This window comes from Homo sapiens, chromosome 18 (genome assembly GCF_000001405.40).
Source record: "Homo sapiens chromosome 18, GRCh38.p14 Primary Assembly".
In the NCBI taxonomy this organism is placed as follows: Eukaryota; Metazoa; Chordata; class Mammalia; order Primates; family Hominidae; genus Homo; species Homo sapiens.
This window is the reverse complement of record NC_000018.10, coordinates 79,316,686-79,337,935: the sequence shown is the minus strand read 5'-3', so window position 1 is coordinate 79,337,935 and position 21,250 is coordinate 79,316,686. Positions and strand designations below refer to the sequence as shown.

The 21,250-nt window shown below is 46.8% G+C and overlaps 1 protein-coding gene across 37 annotated transcripts in view, besides 1 other annotated feature; it reads right to left on the bottom strand.

The window, feature by feature from the left end:
• ATP9B (ATPase phospholipid transporting 9B (putative)) overlaps nt 1-21,250 on the bottom strand; it is a 308,890-nt gene that overhangs the window by 40,348 nt on the left and 247,292 nt on the right. For 22 of the 37 annotated variants that reach the window (XM_017025726.2, XM_011525963.3, XM_017025727.2 and 19 more), the window contains 4 exons: nt 8,634-8,795; nt 7,832-7,924; nt 1,225-1,308; nt 487-735 (listed from right to left, as the gene is read on the bottom strand). In XM_017025726.2, coding sequence (XP_016881215.1) covers nt 487-735; nt 1,225-1,308; nt 7,832-7,924; nt 8,634-8,795 — 588 coding nt within the window. Of the gene's footprint in view, nt 1-486; nt 736-1,224; nt 1,309-4,937; nt 5,109-7,831; nt 7,925-8,633; nt 8,796-21,250 lie in introns of those variants that run through there. The other 15 variants (NR_148360.2, XM_017025728.3, XM_017025730.2 and 12 more) reach the window with 2 other exon arrangements.
• Nucleotides 1,936-2,136: a silencer, noted in NCBI's record as "peak3194 fragment used in MPRA reporter construct". NCBI's record gives its function as "represses an SCP1 promoter by STARR-seq MPRAs in K562 erythroleukemia cells {active_cell/tissue: K562}" and the evidence as "EXISTENCE:reporter gene assay evidence [ECO:0000049][PMID:32103011]".

Sequence of the window (21,250 nt, the reverse complement as noted above, 5' to 3'; positions counted from 1 at the left end):
AGGCCAGGTTACACAGAGAACACAGTGGCCCAGCCTTGCCAGGTGCAGGGTTGTGACAGGCTGGGGGCAAGGGCACGAGTGCCGGCCAACCCAGGAATGGCTGCAGACATCTGGCCGGCGGTGGCCAGGGTGACGGGCACTGGCTCCATGCGTCCTGTGGGGGGTGCATAACCATCCCTGGGAAATGGCATGTGGCAGTTTGACATCGCCAGGGCTGGGACCAGGACTCCTCTTTAGAAAGGCTGGGGTATCCAGAGAGGGAAGAGGTGTAGAGAGGAAGGTCTGGAGTAGGGGTGGCGTGGGGATTTGTGTGTGCACCAGCTGCAGATGTCCCTAAGGAAGGAGGGGAGCTGGTGGGCAGCTCTGCTTACAGAGCTCTCTCACATCCATGACCCCACAGGAGTTTCACAAATCACCATGCCCAAGGAAAAGCACTGTTTGCTTCAGCAAAAGCAGCGCGCGCCAGCAGAGGTGAGCCTGCAGTACCTTGATCCCGGCGTTGCGCAGCATCTCCAGCGTGGGCCGCACGTCTGCCTGCAGCTGGTCCTCCACGCCGGTGAGGCACAGCAGTTCCATCTCCCTCTCCAGGCTCTCGACTACCGCGGCCACCTTGAGGGACCTGTCGTGCATGCTCAGCTTGGCTTGAGTGTATCGGCTCTGGGGACAGAGGGGGAGGCGCCTGTGTGCACACGTGTACGTGCTGTGTGTGGACTCCACAGAGCTGGACTGCATGGGCTGTGGGGACAGAGGGGGAGGTGACTATGTGCACACGTGTACGTGCTGTGTGTGTACTCCACAGAGCTGGACTGCATGGGCTGTGGGGACAGAGTGGGAGGCGCCTGTGTGCACACGTGTACGTGCTCCGTGTGTGTACTCCACAGAGCTGGACAGCATGGGCTCTGGGGACAGAGGGGGAGGCGCCTATGTGCACATACTCTATGTGTACTCAGCTCGGCTGGACTGTGATCATTGAGGAGTTATCAAGCACAATTCTAAGGAAACTGGCACTTCTTTGCTTCTGTAACCCTCCTTCCCCAGCAAGCTGGAGAAATGGTGGAAACAGAAATGCAGACAGGATCACCCCATGCTCCTGCTGAGCGAAGCTGCCTTCACTCCTAGACTATAGCGATCCCAGCTCTAATTTCATACAAAGACAGGAAGAACTAATTTCAGCGTAAGGAAGGAAACGTCGTAGGAGGATGGGATGGCTGGGAGTCGGCTCACCTCAAAGTCCTGGTACTGCTCCTCTGTCAACGCCTTCTTTGCAACCACGAGGGTCCGCAGTCCTTCGCGAGCCATGTTTCCGCACTGGAAAAGGAGAGGCCGAGTCACAGGTGGGCCCTGCAGAGCCCCTGTGGCCGTGTGTGGGGCCAGGGCAGTGCCACACTCTGATTGCTGGTGCCCTGCCCTCATGTCCTGTGCCCACCTTCATCACCAAGGCCAGAGACAACTCAGCAGAGGGACACCTTTACATACAATGCATCCTTTTAACCTCCCGACCTGTCTGGTATCTCAAATCCTACTGACCCCTTCACTCGAGAGGCAAAGACACTGGATGGAGTTGGGGCACACTCCACCTGGACTCTCCTGGTGCCTAGCAGAGCTTCTTTTTACCACAGCACGGGCTTTTCAAAAAATCATACCCTGAATCCTTAAACACCACCACTCCAGAGTGTGGACGGCAGCCTGCATGTAGCAAGAACACACGGAGGGTGCACATGGCGGTGCTGGGGACAGGCGAGGGGAGCGCCTGGTGCCAGGGAGGGCACAGAGGGTGCACACGGCGGTGCTGGGGACGGGCGAGGGGAGCGCCTGGTGCCAGGGAGGGCATGGTGGGTGCACACGGCGGTGCTGGGGACGGGCGAGGGGAGCACCTGGTGCCAGGGAGGGCATGGAGGGTGCACACGGCGGTGCTGGGGACGGGCGAGGGGAGCGCCTGGTGCCAGGGAGGGCTCCTGGTGTACACTGGGGGAGAGGGGGACCCCCCTGGCGTGTTGTAATACCATGGATTTAGAACCAGGTGGCTGGGCCGGAAACCTGTTTCTGCCACAGACTTTGTGTTTTTGGGCAAACGACCTCATTTTTCTGTACTTGTTTCCTCCTTCATAGAAATGGGCTCATAAGAGTGTTGCTCTGGGACTAACTCCGTGAATCTGCGTAAGTTCTTCTTGCTCTATTTTTAACGTGCATGTAACTGGCCTTGCAGGGCAGCCAATCATGAGCAGTAAGCGCAGTTAGTGATGGAGGGGAGGGCAGGAGTGCAGGGCCGCGGTGAGAGCTGGGGTTGGTGGGGACACGGCCAGATCCCAAAGCTCACAAGCCTCACCCTGCATTCGCCTTCCAGAGTTGGGGGAGCCCTGCAGGAGTCACGGGGCCTGATGTGCGTGTTAAAGCAAGACATGGAAATGCCTGCAATGAGCTCATGAAACGGTGCTAACCGTGTTCAGTCAGGGAAGGTGTCAAAATAAAAAACACTACTTTCCCATTAGAGGTAAAAGTGCAACAGTTTTAGCTGGTGATGGGTGAAGAAACAGGCTCTCTGGGACAAGGCTGAGGGGTGGTGCAGGAGCAAACCTGTGTGGAGGTAACACTCTCAAAGTTAAACTGCTCATACCAGTGACACACATCCCAGTCCTGGAAGTTCAAACTGCACTTACAAAAGTAGACCCTGATGTCCACACGAGGTTGACGCTGCCATATTGCTTACATGAACGAGGGTCAGGTTTTAAAAGGCTTGAACGAGCCTGCTCATAGTTAATAGCTACATCCTGCATTTCCACATAGCCAGCGGAGAGAATCTGGCAGAGCGGCAGAAGCCACTTCTGGAACTCTGCGCTTTCTGTGCCATTTCCTTGTGTGCAAAGTGAAAACAGTTCCTCCCTCACGTGGTTGTGGTGACGTGAAGGACACCCAGAGGGACAGGCCTCATGCGGCCACAGGAACAGACGCGTGAGGGCACGTGTTCCTGCAAGGCAGGTGAAGAAACAAACCCACCCCGCTCTCCTACCCGGAACAAGGCAGTGTGGGCGACTGGGCAGATGTGGGAGGGAGGGCACCGGTGGGTCTCCTACCTGGAACAAGGCGGTGTGGGCGACTGGGCAGATGTGGGAGGGAGGGCACCGGTGGGTCTCCTATCCGGCACAAGGGGGGGGTGGGCGTCTGGGCAGATGTGGGAGGGAGGGCGCCGGTGGGTCTCCTGGGGGCCAGGCGTGTGTAGGACTTAGCTGTGAGCACACACGGTCCTGCCCAAGGGGCCAACGTCTGGGGGATGCAGACAAGAGGCAGGGGTGGAGGGTGCTGGGCTCCCGGACAGCCCCAGGGGGTGTCGGGGCTGTCAGGAGACAACCCCACCCCCCTCTGCTGTGTGGACCAGGACGGGGCTCAGGACAGCCGGGCTCTCTTCCAGGGATACAGAGAGGCCCTACAATTGATTACTAAGTGCTGGGTGAGGTGTGCCTAAGCTTTAAAGCTGTGGTGTGTTCTATAAAAAGTACATTAAAAAAACCAAAGTAATGAACACTAAGCTGTATAACTATCAATTTTTGAATCTAGCAGTTTCTAACTTTTTTTTTTCTTTTTGAGACAGAGTCTTGCTCTGTCACCCAGGCTGGAGTGCAGTGGCACGATCTCGGCTCACTGCAAGCTCTGCCTCCCGGGTTCATGCCATTCTCCTGCCTCAGCCTCCCCAGCAGCTAGGACTACAGGCGCCTGCCACCACCCTGTCTATTTTTTTTGTATTTTTAGTAGAGACGGGGTTTCACCATGTTGGCCAGGATGGTCTTGCTCTCCTGACCTCATCATCTGCCCACCTCAGCCTCTCAAAGTGCTGGGATTACAGGCGTGAGCCACCGCGCCCAGCCTAGCAGTTTCAACTTATTAGGGCTAACATACTTTAAGATGCTTTAACAGTGACCCTCCCTGTAGAGAGGGCTTCTCTGTGCTCTGGAAGGTCCCGAAAGATTCGCTGCTTAAGACTCTCCATCCAGATGTTGTTGACTCCCTCTCAAATTTCAAATTTGAGCAACTCTTTCAAATTTTAACCATGTTTACAAAGCTCCTGTCTCTGACACTGGGGTTGACAATACAGAGAAATCAGTGGTAATCACATCTTCCTGAAGCCCCAGGAACTTTCTGTAGCTCAGGTGGACACTCCCAACTTAGCTACGGCCGCAATGAGCCCGCAGAGGTGGTGCAGCTGCTAACCTGCCCTGCCACCATGACACACGGCGAGAGGAGAGGTCTTTTAGAGGCTATTTTGGTAACCTCCAAGACCTGCCCTGCCACCATGACACACAGTGAGGGGAGAGGTCTTTTAGAGGCTATTTTGGTAACCTCCAAGGAGAATAAAGCTCTACGTTACAGCTAGAGAACAACTAATCAAAAACATTATTTTCAATGTATATTTAAAACTTTAAAAATGTGAACATTGATAATGCAGACACTTAAGCAAGGATATCCTAAACAAGTTAATTAGCTACACTTGTTTACGGAAAAGAAGATCAAATACTAGTAAACCTGGTTTGTGCAATGTTGTGCTGAACACTGAGAATCTGCATGGCAGGGAGAAGAACATGACAGTGTCCCTAAGGAAGGCTCCGCCAGCCCTTGGGGTGGACATGCAGTGGAGAGGCCAGCTCCTCAGACAGCAACAGAAAGCCAGAGATGGCAGTTGCAGCCCAGACAGCTGGGACTTTGGGCATCTGACCTTTCTCAGCACTGCCCAGGAAAAGTGCTGAGAAACCACCCGGGCACAGCCGCACATTTGGAAACACATCACGGCCCCCCAGGCACGCGCAGAGACCCTGTCACCACCCATCATCTCTCCTGGGCATCAGGCAGCCCTCCATGTGGGAGGCCCCACTCTAATGAAGCCAGTGTACTGTATCTGCTGATCAAGGTTAATCTGTAGGCAAATAAACATTATTGAACTCTTCATATTATTTGCAATTTCTTTTTAATTCATCCAGTTGATTGTATTTGACGTTGGACTGGAGGCTGCAGGGATGGCAGGAAGGGCTGGAGGAGAGGCGTGGGTCTAGCACCCTTCTTTATGCATCCAACAGCTGTGTCTCTTCCCGTCTCCTGTTTAGGAATTGGAATAGTGACCTCTATAGGGTCATGTGTTACAGGAGACAAAAGAAGTGACAATTACTGTGAATTACAAAGGCAAGGCTGTCATTCATTATACCTCCTGTCGTTCCCAATTTTAACTACAGATGGCCCTTAAACAACATGGGTTTGAACAGCGTGGGTCCACTTTTACGCAGATTATTTTCAGTAAAGTTTATGCGGAGTGAGCTTGCCCCTCCTGCCTCCGCTTCCACCTCCTCCACCTGTTCTGCCTCTGCCCTCCTGAGAGAGCAAGACCAACCCCTCCTCCTCCTCAGCCTCCTCAACATGAAGACCATGAGGAAGAAAGTCAGAAGGTCTTCACGATGGCCCACTCCCACTTACTGATGAGTAGATAACATTTTCTCTTCCTTATAATTTTTTTATTTTTATTTTTTGAGACGGAGTCTCGCTCTGTCGCCCAGGCTGGAGTGCAGTGTCGCGATCTTGGCTCACTGCAAGCTCTGCCTCCCGGGTTCACGCCATTCTCCTGCCTCAGCCTCCCAAGTAGCTGGGACTACAGGCGCCCGCCACCACACCCGGCTAATTTTTTGTATTTTTAGTAGAGATGGGGTTTCACCGTGTTAGCCAGGAGGGTCTCAATCTCCTGACCTCGTGATCTGCCCGCCTTGGCCTCCCAAAGTGCTGGCATTACAGGCGTAAGCCACCGTACCCAGCCCATGATTTTCTTAATAACACTTTCTTTGCTCTAAGTTACTTTCTTGTAACAATGCAGAATATAATTCATGTAACATACACAATGTGTTAATCGATTTATCCATGTTATTAGTATGGCTTCGTTCAACAGGAGGCTATCAGCAGTTACGTGTTGGGGAGTCAGAAGTGATAGGCTGATTTTCATCTGTGTGGGGTTTGGAGCCCCTGGCCCTCGTGTTGTTCAAGGGTCACCTGTACTTGTTTCCTTTACAATACAATGTCCAGGGCCCAACTCAGGTTTGTGTTTAGAGGGAAGGAAGCCAATCACCTCAACACCTCCAGCTATCCGGAACATCACTATTTTAAGTCTGTTCACAGACTTACATATTCTTACATCTCAGGTTTGCATAAACTGGTTCTTTCTGTTATGTGATCATTGAAAAGTTTTTTTTTTTTTAAACATTTGACAAGCCAAGAATTCAGTTCTGGAGGAGCCTGATGGAAGCAGAATAATACACTTTTAACTCCAGCTCGAAGAATCTGCTGCCTCATTTCGTTTTTAATAAAATGAAAGGCTTTCATAATATAGTAGTACCACAACAAAGACATTGGTGAAGGGACAACAATTTATCCAAGGAAAGAAAATATAATGTTGAAAAAATAAATGTACATAGAATTTTTAATAAAGTTATCTTTGTGAAAAACATTCTGACATCATCTGTCTGTTGCAAAACATTTATTGATTTGGCCTCATAAAGCTAAATAAATTAAAGAAGTATTTTACAATTAATTGCACATCATTATGACCAAAAGTAATTTTTATGGCATTTTACTAGGTCTTCAGGGAGTTTAATTTATTCACGTCCCTGATTAAATCAAACCACCCCGAAGGAGATATTGATTCATATTGCCACTACCGTTGCGAACACTGGGGTGTGGAGGCTGCACGGACAGACCATCTCTGAGGTCCCAGGGTGGGAGGAGAGACTCTGAATTCCAACAGCAACACGCACACAGGAAAAAGGGCCATGTTTACTACAATTACAACAGTCTCCATTTTACTTGGAAATCCAACTACTGATTTATACATAAGCTTAACGATAAAATCATCTCATGAGGCTACCTACAAATCCTATTTACTTCAGGAGAATTTAATGAAATATGGGATTGCTTATTATTTGTATCTTATGTTCTAATTTTAGGTGAACCTTATGCACAAATTAGCATTAGGTTAAAATTCTAAAGAAAATCTTGCAAATATTTATGTTACAAAAGAGATACATTAAAATATAACTTTGATTACATATAAAGTATTATTTCAGAATAGTGAATGATTGATAATGCCTTCTATTTCTATTATAAACAAAATATTCTTTGTAAGGACCTACTTGTATAGATTGACACGCACTCACACACAAAACAAAAATGATTGTTATTTACACAGAAAGTAAATTATTGGCTGGGCATGGTGGCTCATGCATATAATGCCAGCACTTTGGGAGGCCGACACGGGCGGATCACGAGGTCAGGAGATAGAGACCATCCTGGCTAACATGGTGAAACCCTGTCTCTACTAAAAATACAAAAAAATTAGTCAGGCATGGTGGCGGGTGCCTGTAGTCCCAGCTACTTGGGAGGCTGAGGCAGGAGAATCGCTTGAACCTGGGAAGTGCAGGTTGCAGAGAGCCAAGATTGCGCTACTGCACTCCAGCCTGGGTGACAGTGTGTCTGTCTCAAAAAAAAAAAAAAGGGTAAACTATTTATAAATAGATAGGACTCCTACCCTTTCTCCTTTATGAAATTGAGAACTGCAAGCACTTAAAATAATTTAGTATAAAATGATACTGTGTTTGACAACCTATGTGGTTCCCATCAGCATCTGGTTTGACATTTTGACAGCTCAATTCATCCAATGATACCAGTGTCTGCAAGCTGGGGAAAGGATATCCTTTTCCTGTCATCTATCAATAAAGTTCATAGAAACACTGTGAACCAGGCTGAGAGTCACTCACATACCTCCTCTTCCATAGAAACACTGTGAACCACGCTAGAGTCACTCACATACCTCCTCTTCCAGCCAGTCATTATACTGCACGATAGGAGACATGGCCACGTCAGCGCCCTTCATGTAGAATGTGATTTCTGCCGTGGATTCATCCTATCAAAGAACAAAAATAAACAGAGGCACATTTAGGCTGCATTGCTCGGGGCAAATAACTGCTAGTCTAATAAAACATACAATGGAAAAAGCAATTCCTATGAATGTGTTCCTGTGTGTTAAGCTCCTCACACGTGTTTCTACGCGGAGGGCTAGGCCCACTCTTCAGCAATAGTGCAATCAGGACTGAGAACATAATTGTGCATCCTGAGATGCTAGGCTGAAGGTCTGAGTGTGTTAATGAATATGATTTGAGTTGCATTCATTCTCTTAAACTTTTACAGTTGGATTTAATGCTTCATTGTTTAGTCAACTTCCAAGATATGATTTTGGTGTTTGCTAAAAAAATTAAGGTACGTTTTGGCAACTTTATGGTCATAAATCAATGTACAAAAGTCAAACTCTTTGGCATGTTATTTTTGTTGAAATCAAAACAGCTTTAGTTGTTGATTTCAAAAATTAATAAATCCCACATTATTGATTCTGGCTAGGTTGACTTAGGAGAATTATTTTATCTCACTAGAGACACAGTAGGTTCCCAGATATAGATTATTAGCTTAGATTTCATTAAAAAAAAAAAACAAACAAAACTGTAACAGCATAAAGCACCTGAGTAAATGTTTAACTTTCTTTTGGGAAAATCTGTGTTTAAAAGGTGTGAAAACAAAATGTCTGAAGCCATCGCGTGGCACCCTCCCCGCAGCCTCACCCTGACGATGACGCCCATCCGCTTGCTCTCGGAGGTGAAGGGAAACAGCTGCAGAATGCAGAAGCTGAGGACCTGGCCACTGGGGGTCTTCAGCTGCATGGAGGTGAGGTCCCTGCTGACCAGCGTGAGGCCCACACTCTCTGTCCACTGCACCAGAGCGACCTACGGGAGACCAGCAACAACTGAGGCCACCGCTGCCTCAGGAAAGCCGCACGCAGGCGAGCCAGCACGGCAGTGCTCAGAAAGCTTGCCAACATGAGACAGCTGCAGAAGAACTTAGGTGTTCAGAACTTTTTGTTTTCACGGCTAAGTATATACGTTTGAATAACATTGTTCTAGAGGAATCCTAAGCAATATCACAAAAGTCACTTGGTATTATTCTTTAAAATAAAGACCATTATGGATCATAAAGACTTTCTTTACAATTTGTGTTAATTGCTCCCTAGAGCCAGATGGTTTTAAAATTGAGAACGCAGCTCACCCCATCAGTCTGGGGACAGGGAGCAAGTTATACGACTTTTCAAGGTTTCTCCCTCCCCAGTTCCATGGACACCATGAAAGGGGAAATAGTTTGAATCTCATGTTTATGGTAATTATTTTTCTAAAATAAGAGACAAATTGGTGACTAATTAACTCTATTAATGTGTCTACATGTAATATTTGCAAACTTAAAGGAGACAAGATAGACAAGGAGAAAGCAGGCCTGGGTTCTAAGCCCAAGTGTGAAAGTCGGAACTCCTGTGGCCAGGTCTTCACTCTGCTGGGGCCACGCTCCTCTTCTGTCATGTGGAAAAATGGCCTTCCAAATTGCTTTGAGGCCAAAATAACATGAGTGATTCTCTGGCATATGGCAGGTACTCAGAAATAGAATGTATTCTTATTGATAATTATTTATTGACTTATTAAAATTTAACAATCACAAGTGGAAGAGCAATTTTTACAGTTAATAATTTGTGAATAGTATTTTATGACAAAAAGTATTATTTTCTGATAAAAGTCTGTCTTTAAAAGCAACCTCCCTACCAGACATTAATCAGATAAATAGGGTATGCCAATCCTATTATGCAGCTAAAGGCACACTAACCATGGGGAACATGCTAACCACGGAGAACACACTAACCACAGAGAGCACACTAACCACGGAGAGCACGCTAACCACAGAGAGCACGCTATCCACGGAGAGCACGCTAACCACAGAGAGCACGCTAACCACAGAGAGCACGCTAACCACGGAGAGCACGCTAACCAGAGAGAGCACGCTAACCACGGAGAGCACGCTAACCACGGAGAGCACGCTAACCACGGAGAGCACGCTAACCAGAGAGAGCACGCTAACCACGGAGAGCACGCTAACCACGGAGAGCACGCTAACCAGAGAGAGCACGCTACCCACGGAGAGCACGCTAACCACGGAGAGCACACTATCCATGGAGAGCACGCTAACCATGGAGAGCACGCTAACCACGGAGAACACACTAACCACGGAGAACACGCTAACCACGGAGAGCACGCTAACCACGGAGAGCACGTTAACCACAGAGAGCACGCTAACCACGGAGAGCACGCTAACCACGGCGAGCACGCTAACCATGGAGAGAGCACACTAACCACGGAGAGCACGCTAACCACGGAGAGCACGCTAAACACGGAGAGCATGCTAACCAGGGAGGGCACACTAACCAGGGAGGGCACGCTAACCACGGAGGGCACGTTAACCACGGAGAGCACGCTAACCACGGAGAGCACGCTAACCACGGAGAGCACGCTAACCACGGAGAGCACGCTAACCATGGAGAGAGCACACTAACCACGGAGAGCACGCTAACCACGGAGAACACGCTAACCATGGGGAGCACACTAACCATGGAGAGCACGCTCTCTGCAACGTCCCACACCACTGCAGCACAGCCCAGTAACACAGCTGCTTCCCTCAGGGTCTCCTCTCTGTTCTGCAGGCCTGCCGCCACCCACAGTGCTGAAGCCCCTCACAGCCTGGGTGAGTCCTCTTCTTAAACCACAACCTCATTCTCACCCACCTCTTCCGATGAGCACGTCCTTGCCTTCAGTTTTAACCTCCACCTCACTCTCAGCCAAACAGTTTTAAAATCTTAGGTTCTAAGAACTCAAGTCACTTCAGGAACATTTTAAATGTTGTCTAGTGCACAGGATATTAAATCAATCTTAGGGCCTTCTGAACATTCCTGTGAGGATGAGTTCACACTCTTAGAGAGACTGTAGCAAAGTTCTCAAGAGCTCTGGCTCTGTGGCCAGCTGCTCAGGTTAGGACCGAACCCTGGGCAAATGGCTGCACCTCTGCAACCCCAGGGTCCTTGTCTACAGAATGGCCGTGCCGAGGCACCACTCAGAGCTGCAGCAAGGATTCGAGAAATGAGGTGTGAGGGCACACAGTGGACAGTCAGCACAGTGGACAGTCAGCACAGGGAGGCCACCAGGAGGATGCCAGGGCTCTACCCTCAGCTTTCTCACAGGAGCCCTCCAGACATGCACTCGTGGGCAGACCAGGAACTACCTTTAAAATCAGATTTTCTAAGCAATTCCCCACACGTCTGACCACAGAATACCTCTAGCATGATTTTCCAGTGTCTGGGTGTGAAGAGCTGCTTCCTTTCTTTTTCATGCTTTGAACTTGACACAGCAGGGCACTGTGTGGGGACGGAGTGTGCAGAGATGAAACCGAACACCATGTGAGCTCAGGGAGGGAGGGTACAGAGATGACACTTAACACCATGTGCAGGGAGAGAGTGTGCAGAGATGACACACTAACACCATGTGAGGGGAGGGAGGGTATAGAGATGACACCCTAACACCATGTGAGGGGAAGGAGTGTGCAGGGATGACACCCTAACACCATGTGAGGGGAGGGAGGGTACAGAGATGACACCCTAACACCATGTGAGGGGAGGGAGGGTACAGAGATGACACCCTAACACCATGTGAGGGGAGGAAGGGTACAGAGATGACACCCTAACACCATGTGAGGGGAGGGAGGGTACAGAGATGACACCCTAACACCATGTGAGGGGAGGGAGGGTACAGAGATGACACCCTAACACCATGTGAGGGGAGGGAGGGTACAGAGATGACACCCTAACACCATGTGAGGGGAGGGAGGGTACAGAGATGACACCCTAACACCATGTGAGGGGAGGGAGGGTACAGAGGTGACACCCTAACACCATGTGAGGGGAGGGAGGGTACAGAGGTGACACCCTAACACCATGTGAGGGGAGGGAGGGTACAGAGGTGACACCCTAACACTATATGACGGGAGGGAGGGTACAGAGATGACACCCTAACACCATGTGAGGGGAGGGAGGGTACAGAGATGACACCCTAACACCATGTGAGGGGAGGGAGGGTACAGAGATGACACCCTAACACCATGTGAGGGGACGGAGGGTACAGAGATGACACCCTAACACCATGTGAAGGAATGGAGTGTGCAGAGATAATGGAAAACAGCCTAACGCCATGTCTCTTCTGGCTCTGGAGATGCTGCGTGCAAGTGGGGAGTGCCGGGAGCAAAGCCAGGGATCGCGATGGTGTCACCGGTGCTGCGTGGAGGTGACAGGCACCTGTCCCTCCTTTTCAGGGCTGCCCAGGTGCCACTGCCACTGACCTCGCCCCACAGGCATGCTTTTGAGAGGCCTGCAGTGCAAAAGCCCCCGCTCCTTCCCTGTCATGTGACCTCAGGTGACTTCCCAAACATTTTTTAGGCTCTAGTTAAGGAATTAAATAGACAAACAGGCCAACTGTTTTAGGATAATAAACACACACACATATTTATACAGTTTCAAATGGTGCGTACTCAATCTATCAGCATTTACCTTTTACAAATTTCTCATATTTTAAGAAGTTTACAAAGTAAAGTGAGCTTATGATATATGGAATAGAATGATTCTGGAAAAGCAGTATTGAGAGAGAAACTGTAACTACTATCCTACATTTGCAGTCATTTCAGTTACAAAATCCGACGTGCACTTCTACAGAAAAGGCATAAGAGATGGGAGAGTCAGACACCTTTTCTCAACTCAAGTTCTTCATCTGCATCCCAGAGGGCAGAAGTGATCTGAGGCACCATTTTCTATTTCCAGGGAGAGTACCAGCTAGTCCTGCTCTAGACTGGGGAGGAAAGAATGCGTCACACAAACGACCTGTGTCCTCCGGCATCTGGGGTCCCTCCTCCCCAGAACCTGGGAGAGGGGCTCAGGGGTTGTGGGCTCCCTTTTCCAGCAGGGACCGGGTCTGTCTTCGGCCACGGCCTTCATCTTCCCCACATGGCTCTCCAGCCCCACTGGTTTACTCCACAGCCCCAGCTGCTGAACACACTTCAAAACCTGCTTTCTGAAGGAGGAATGACTATGTACAATGTTGGAATTTCTCCTCAGCCCGAATTTATCATCTAGAAATACAAATTTCATTTAAACAAATAAGACCATATAGTTAACTATTTATAAATTCAGGGACAGCAAAATGTTACATATTAGACCAGCAATTAAGAAGACTTAATGGTATAGAATTACTATTTTTCTATAAGCAACATTCTGAAGTGAGACAACTCGTTTCCATATTTAAGGGAAAAGAGCCTTTACTCTTATTAATCAACCCTGCATGTAAGGGCCAGTGCAATTTGTTGGGTACCTGGTCAGCACCTGTTGGTCCTCCAGGTAGTGGGATGTGGGGCAGGGTCTGGTCTCAGCCCACAGCGCTGGCTGAAGAACTACACCCCAAGAGTGAGTCAGACAGACCTCAACCCTTTTCTGCTTGACATCTGTATCTGTGGGTGGACTGAAAAATTAAAAGACACCCTTATATGGGTAATATCTGCTTGGTATCTAAAACCACTAATCAAATTTGAAAATGTGCCTAATAGGCTGGCACACTCCAGGGCACTTTGGTCTGGGCAAAGACTTCTTGAATAAGACCTCAAAAGCACAGGCAACCAAAGCAAAAATGGACAAACAGGATCACATTGGGCTAAAAAGCCACTGCACAGCAAAGAAAACAATCAACAAAGTGAAGAGAAAACCCACAGAATGAGAGAAAATATTTGCAAACTACCCACTGAGAAGAGATTAATAAGCAGAATCTACCAGATCATTGTATATTCTCAAACGACTTAATCGGAAAAAAATGAGTAATTCGATTAAAATATGGGCAAAAGATCTGAACAGACATTTCTCAAAAGAAGACACACAAACGGCCAACAGGTATAGGAAAGCATGCTCAATATCCTTTAATCATCAGACATGCAAATAAAAATTACAATGAGGTATCACCTCACCCCAGTTAAAACGGCTTCTATCCAAAAGACAGCAATTCAAATGCTGGCGAGGGAGGAGGTGGGAGAAGGGAGCACTGTTGTCGGGAATGTAAATTCGTGCAGCCCTCTGGAGAGCAGCATGGAGGTTACCCCCAATCTAAACACAGAGCCACCATATAATCCACAATCCCACGCCTGGGAATATCCCCCAAAGAAAGGAAATCAGTACACTGAAGAGATCTCGGCACCCCTACGTGTACTGCGGCACTGTTCACAGTGGCCACGTTATGGAATCAGCCTGTGTCCCCCACTGGATGCACGGATGAAGAAAACGTGGTGTACACACAATGGAGTATTATTCAGCCATCACTAAAGAATGAGACCCTTTCATCTACAACAATGTGAATGGAACAGGGGCACATTATGCTAAGTGAAATCAGCCGGGCACAGAAAGACAAACACTGGGTCTTCTCATTCTTATGTGGGAGCTAAGAAAAAAAGGTTGAACTCCTGGAGACAGAGAGTAGAATGATGGTTACCAGAGTCCGGGAAGGATATCGGGGACATTGAGGATATTGGGGATAGGGGTGATAAAGGGGGCTGGTGAATGGGTACAAAAATACAGTCGGATAGAAGGAATAAGATCCAGCGCTCAGTAGCATGATAGGGTGACCTTCACTGACAATAATTTATGTATATTTTACAATAACTAAGAATGGAACTGCAATATTACTAACGCGAAGCAACGATAAACAGAGGATTACTAACACGAAGCAACGATAAACGGAGGATTACTAACGCGAAGCAACGATAAACGGAGGATTACTAACGCGAAGCAACGATAAACGGAGGATTACTAACGCGAAGCAACGATAAACGGAGGATTACTAACGCGAAGCAACGATAAACGGAGGATTACTAACGCGAAGCAACGATAAATGCTTGAGGTGACGGGTATCCCAATTACCGATTTGATCACTGCATATTGTATGCTTGTATCAAATATCACATGTACCCCATAAGTATGTACTATTACGTACCCAGAATAATTTAAAATTTAAAAACTTAAAAAAGACATAAAACATAAAGCAAGACTAAATCAAAGGCCCCGAGTCTCTACCATATTTCAGGACGGTCTGACTCTGTCTGAAGTACCATATTTAACTTTGCTGCATGTTGAGAACATTCTGCTCTGGGAGGCACCTAGAATTTGACCTTTATAAACCTGAAGCTTCCCACTCTCAAACATGATTGATGTGTCTTCCTTTTGCTGAAAATAAATGAAATTAGCAAATTTTGACTTTGGTCTGTTTTGCTTAAGAATCTTAGTAAGAACATAAATTACACAAATAGGAGCAAATCCAATGCTTAATGTGTGCCAAATACTGTGAGAAACTGCTGTCTGGAAATTCTTTGCTTGTAATTTTCATGCTTTGTTAGAAATCAGTAAAGGACATACTCACTGAGGAAGTGCTGATGTGGCCAGGGCTGAAGCCACTTGGCCCCACTGCCCCTGCCTGGGGTGGAATCCGGGTCAGAACCCTCTCCTACTGATGGAAGCTGCCTGACCGTGCCCCGAGGGTGCGGCCAGGAGAATGTCGGAATGGTTCTGTGCCCCACATTTGGGATGGTGTGCCGTGCAGCAATGGTGGCAGATGTCAACACTCGCTGTCTCAATTCTGACGTTGGGTTAGAGGTTGGACGGCACTGCCGTTCTATGGACGCTACAACTCTGGAATTCCATGCCTGTGTTAAACGTTCAGTAGGGTGTCACCCACGGGGCTTGAATTAGAACTCTCCCTCTCCGACTTTCCTGCATGTTACTAAGTACACCGAGAGTCTAAAATTGTGCTAGGGATGACGCAGTCCTGTAATTCAGGGCATCAGCGATACACTCCACATTACCAAAAAAGGCACGTGGGGGTCAGCCAGGACTACCACCCATCGAAGGGGAGGGAGGTGGCACCTGTGCATCACCATCTCCAGTGGGAAGTGAGGGTGTAGCTCTACCATTGCTTCCTCCAATAAAACTTCTTCTCCACAAGCTGTAAATTATGCCAACGCTCCTGAGGCTAATTTCCAATTTACACAGTGAAAGGTTACGATTACATTTTGACCTGTAAATTGCATCTTTCCGTGAACACCCTGTCATCTCACTGGTGCCCCACTGCAGTCAGGACTGAGCTTTCTATATTTGGTGACTCACATCTGTTTATTATTTAGTTTATGCTTGGTTTCACAATCCATTTGAGCAAAGAGCAGCTTATAACAAAAATCAGTTTAGCTTCTTATACCTAGCCCAGCATTCCATCCAATTGTTTTTAATTTGTAATCATCTTGAAGATTAACTCTATATAATGCCAACCAGAAAAAAAGAATATCCAAATTTTTCATGATAGATGCTTTAATTACTGTTCTCATGTAACTTGCCTGTTGTTGGACAGAATTTCGATAATATAAAATTAAACATAGCCAGGAGTGGTGGGCACATGCCTGTAATCCCAGCTATTTGGGGGGCTGAGGCAGGAGAATCGCTTGAACCCGGGAGGCAGAGGTTGCAGTGAGCTGAGATCGTGCCACCGCACTCCAGCCTGGGCAATAGAGCGAGACTCTGCCTCAAAAAAAAAAAAAAAATTGCTAGATGAAATAACTACAAGAAAAATAATTTCAGTGAGGACATGCAGTACTTTTAGCATCTTTGCTCCTGAATTCATACCTAAGTACTCAATACTTCACGCAGACCTGGTCCTCCTTATTGAAGATACATCAAAGGAACGGCTGGTTCCCACGGACACGGCAGATTCTCCGGTTTTGGTTTTGAGCTTTCATATCTTAATTCATGCTCTGCAGCTCTGCAGCACGTAAGTGTGGGGATTTGACTAGGTGAAAGCAGCCTAGCGAATTCTCTTGGTATATCTGAAATATAGTCATGGTGTTCTTTTTAGAAGGCTCTTAGAAATAACTTACATCTAGGGACAGTAGATGTAGAAATTAAAAGAAAATTGTAAAGGATTGATAAGTTTGAGTCTATTATCTTCCTAAAGATGTTTGAGAGATTAAAATATACACACTTTCCTAAAGTATGTAAGCTCCCTCCCCGCATAAAACCCACAGCATCCGGAGGTTTCCTAGTGTGTAAGCTCCCTCCCAGTATAAAACCCACAGCATCCCAAGGTTTCCTAGTATGTAAGCTCCCTCCCAACGTAAAACCCACAGCATCCCGGAGTTTCCTAGTATGTAAGCTCCCTCCCAGTGTAAAACCCACAGCATCCCGAGGAAGTGGGATAGGGTTCTACAAGCAACGAGGGCTGGAGGGGGGTGGGAGTTCTGCATGGCCAGCCAACCAGATGGTCCATATGCAGATCCAGTAAAGACAACCTGTCATTTCAACTCCCAACTTCAGAATCAAGCTGTCCAAGCAAGACTGGGGTTTATCTTCCAACAACAGACACAGTTATGGAGACTGACGGCAGCTAGCTCAGTGACAAATACATTTGTTAGAGACCCATTCTCTGACTGTCCCCCTGGCCTGGCCCTGGGCCTCTCATGCCCCTGGTGTGTGTGGAGTGCCGGCCGCGCAGCCAGGCCCTCCCCATCACTCTCCACCAGGCAGTCTTACTTTCGGCTCAACCCCAGGTCTCCAAAAGGCCCTGCTGACCACCTGATCAGAGTGCTGTGTGCCCCTCCCCTTCCCCTGGCAGAGGACGTACTCGCACTGCGCCTCCGCTGCGTTCTAGGGACCAACACTCCCAGGTCCGGGCTCCTTCCCTCCCAGAACCTCAGTTCCCCACACAGGTCCAGGTGCACTGTGCTCACCGATGTAGACTCAGGAACAAGCACAACGACTTATTTCTTGAATAAATGAAAGCTAAAAGATCTCCTATTTAAAATGATTTAAAAGTGGAAAGCTGAGTGGAATTCTGAAGACACAGGCAAAACCATAAATGGGCACGTTCTCGGCACTCCGTGTCAGGACTCTCCAGGGCCTGGACAGCCTGGTGAGCACAGGGCTGCTGCAGAGCAATCTGGGCTCTGAGTTTAAAGAGAGTCGCTCTCTCCCTGAAGTTACTAGTGTGCCTCTCAACCATTTATTTGCATATAAAATGCAAATCACCTGAAAGAAGTAAATAGGTTAATAATAAATTAATTAAATCAAAGAGTACTCCTGTAAGCCAAGCTCTGTAGATGCAGAAGTCATGGCAATATTTGCTTCAGGACTTTATTTTAGATTTATTTACATGGAGAATCACATACATGCATCACCTCTACAATCAGTTTAATCCCGAGGAACTAGAAACTAAATTCTGGCAATAAATGAAATGGATATACGGTACAGATATTCTTCAGGCCGGTTTCCTTAAATCTTTTTGTGCTATCAACGTGGGAGAGACACTGAGGACAGTGATTCCAGCCACAGGACTTGTCATGTTAAGTGGAGACGTAGGGAAGGAAACAATGAGGAGGACAACGCAAGCCAGAGAAGCAGGGACCCCTACGGAAGGAACTGTTCAGTGTTCCCTCTATTCACTCACGTTAGCCAGGAGAGGCGGGGGCCCCTATGGAACTGTTCAGTGTTCCCTCCCTATTCACTCACGTTAGCCAGGAGAGGAGGGGGCCCCTCCTCTATTCACTCACATTAGCCAGGAGAGGCAGGGACCCCTAGGGAACTGTTCCCTCTCTATTCACTCACATTTCAAACACTACATATACAAGGGCATTTTATTTTCTTATTGAAGCACTTCTGGAAGGCAGCTTACGTGTCTTTAACAAGAGACAATATTTAACAGTGCTAAAATGTTTGTTCCTCAACTTTTATTTTTAGTGTCTGACATGGGTCTCCAACTTGCCTGAAAGTGAAGCCGAGAAGCCCTTTCTTGCTTCCTTCCACTGCAGGTCCCAGAACATCCAAGACCCTCCAGTGAAGGCACAACCAGGTGTGAATGAAATGGGTGGCCGAGATGCTGGCACTCACCAGAATACCACACAGCTGGTCATGATGACCCTGTGCCCAGAAACACACTTTTCTTCCCTAACATTTTTAACATTTTTCTAATTTCACAAGGACACGAGTTAAAGGAAGACCACACCACCCAGAGTGGTCACCTCGTTCTGCAGAGGAAATATTACTGGGTGATCTACAGTGGGACCTGAAGTCATGCTATCCTGCAGTGACCCTGTGTCTTCCATACAATTACAAGATAAATACTAAAGGCCAGATACCACAAAGAAGAAACTGGCTAAACCACTGTTGTAAAATAACCACAAAAAAAGACAAAGCACTTAAAACATATCTGAACTTTTATTTGGTAATTTTCTGAAAGGTGCATATACACAGTGTTTCTTCAAGTTGTCAATAAAATCTGAGCAAGCAGCAGGTTCCATTTTTAAAAGCTTAAATCCATACTTGATTCAGACATCCTTCATTCCTACCTCAAGTCCTTGTCTTGTCCCAGGTCCCATCCGGGATGTCACATTTAGTTTTCATGTCTTCTCTTGGCTGCTACAGTTTCTTGGACCTGCCTAGTTTTTGATGACCTCCACAGTTTTGAGAAGTACTGGTCGGGTATTTTGTTAAGTATCGCTCAGTTTTATTTGTCTGATGATTTTCTCACGAGTAGACTGGGGCTGTGGGGCTGGGGAGGAAGACCATGAAGGTGAGGTGCTGTTGACCACATCCTGTGGGGGCTGCATCTAGCAACACGACTTTTCACTGCTGATGCTGACCCTACTCACCTGACTGAGGTCGTCAAGCTACTCTTCCTTTCCCCTTTTCACACCATGCTCTTTGGGACGAAGTCATCGTGTGTAGCCCACACCTAAAGGAAGAGGAATTATGCTCCCCAACCTGCGGGTTCAGTAGCTACATACATGATCCTTTTGCACAGGAATCCTTCTGCATGGGCGATCTGTCTTTCTCTCCCATTCATTTATTTATTCATATCAGTTTGGACTCATGCATTATTTGTTTCATACTATGGGCTATAATCCAGTACAACTGACTTTGCTGCTCATGCTGTTCCAGCATTCACCACAGGGAGCTTTTCCAGTTGGCTTCTGTGTCCCTCCGACACATCCCCTGCCATGCAGGCAGCTTTTTCTGTTTGTTTGCTGGCTTTGAGCAATTCCTTACTTCCTGGCAGTACCAGATGCTCCAGGCTCAGTCTGGGTATTTCCTGCCTTGGTTCTAGAATCAGCCATTTCTGCAAGGAGCCCTGTGTGCATTCTACCATGCAATGGCCATGTTTCCACCACCCCGGAGAGGTACATGCTCTTTTACTGCTCTTTGGCAGTCATCCCACTGCTGCCAGCATAATCCTGAACTTACCAAAGTCTAAGTAAATCAGCACCTTTACCTGTACTCTAAGGACCTTAGAGTAATTTACTCCCATTGACATCAATCGCCTCTTGACTTTTGGCTATTATCATCATGTATCTTAATATTTTTTCTGTATTAGACCCCACAAATCACTACTTTTATGGTATTTTACAGTCAATATTCATATCTCTTTTGGTGATGTAGCTGTTCAAATCTTTTGCCAATGTTTAAATTCAGGTGATGTTTCCTCATTACTGAGTTTTGAGAATTCTTTATATATTCAGCATACTAGTCACTTATCAGGTAAGTATTCTGCAAACATTTCCTACAAGTCTCTGGCTTATCTTTATTTTCTTTTTTCAAATTTATGTTGAAATCCTAATTTGTCTTTATTTTCTTAATAAATGTCTTTTGAAAAAAATAAGTTTTACTCTGATATTCAATTTATCATTTTTTTCAGAACTTCTGCTTTTTTTGTGTCCTTAGACATCATTGCCAAACTTTTTCTTGCTCAAGAAAAGTTCTTACAGTATATGATTTATTTGTGCCTCAAAACAACTGACCTATAAAACTGGTCAAAAGCCATTTTGGGTGATTTTTCTAAATTTCTTTTCTCGTCTACTCAGATTTATATGGAGTCAATTTTGAAATTTATATTTCTCCAGAAAACACTTATTTTACTGTCTTTGAAAACATAAGCATTTGAGCTGTATTTCATATTCTCTTATAAACATTTAAGCCTACTTGTTTATTATACACTCTTACATATGGATAGTTTCATATGTGTGAACTTAGTTTACATTCGCTGTTTTGTATTTACTATGTTTTGCCAATAATCTTCCGATTTCATTTAACCTTTCAAAGAATCAGCTTTTGAATTACTGCTTACTCAATCATTACTTGTATGTTTTCCTTTACTTTTTCTTCCTCCCACTTTCCTTTGGTTTTGTTCTTCTTCTTACTGAGTTTTTAGTTTGATGCCAAGTTAACATATGTTCATTTCTTTCTCTTGATGCA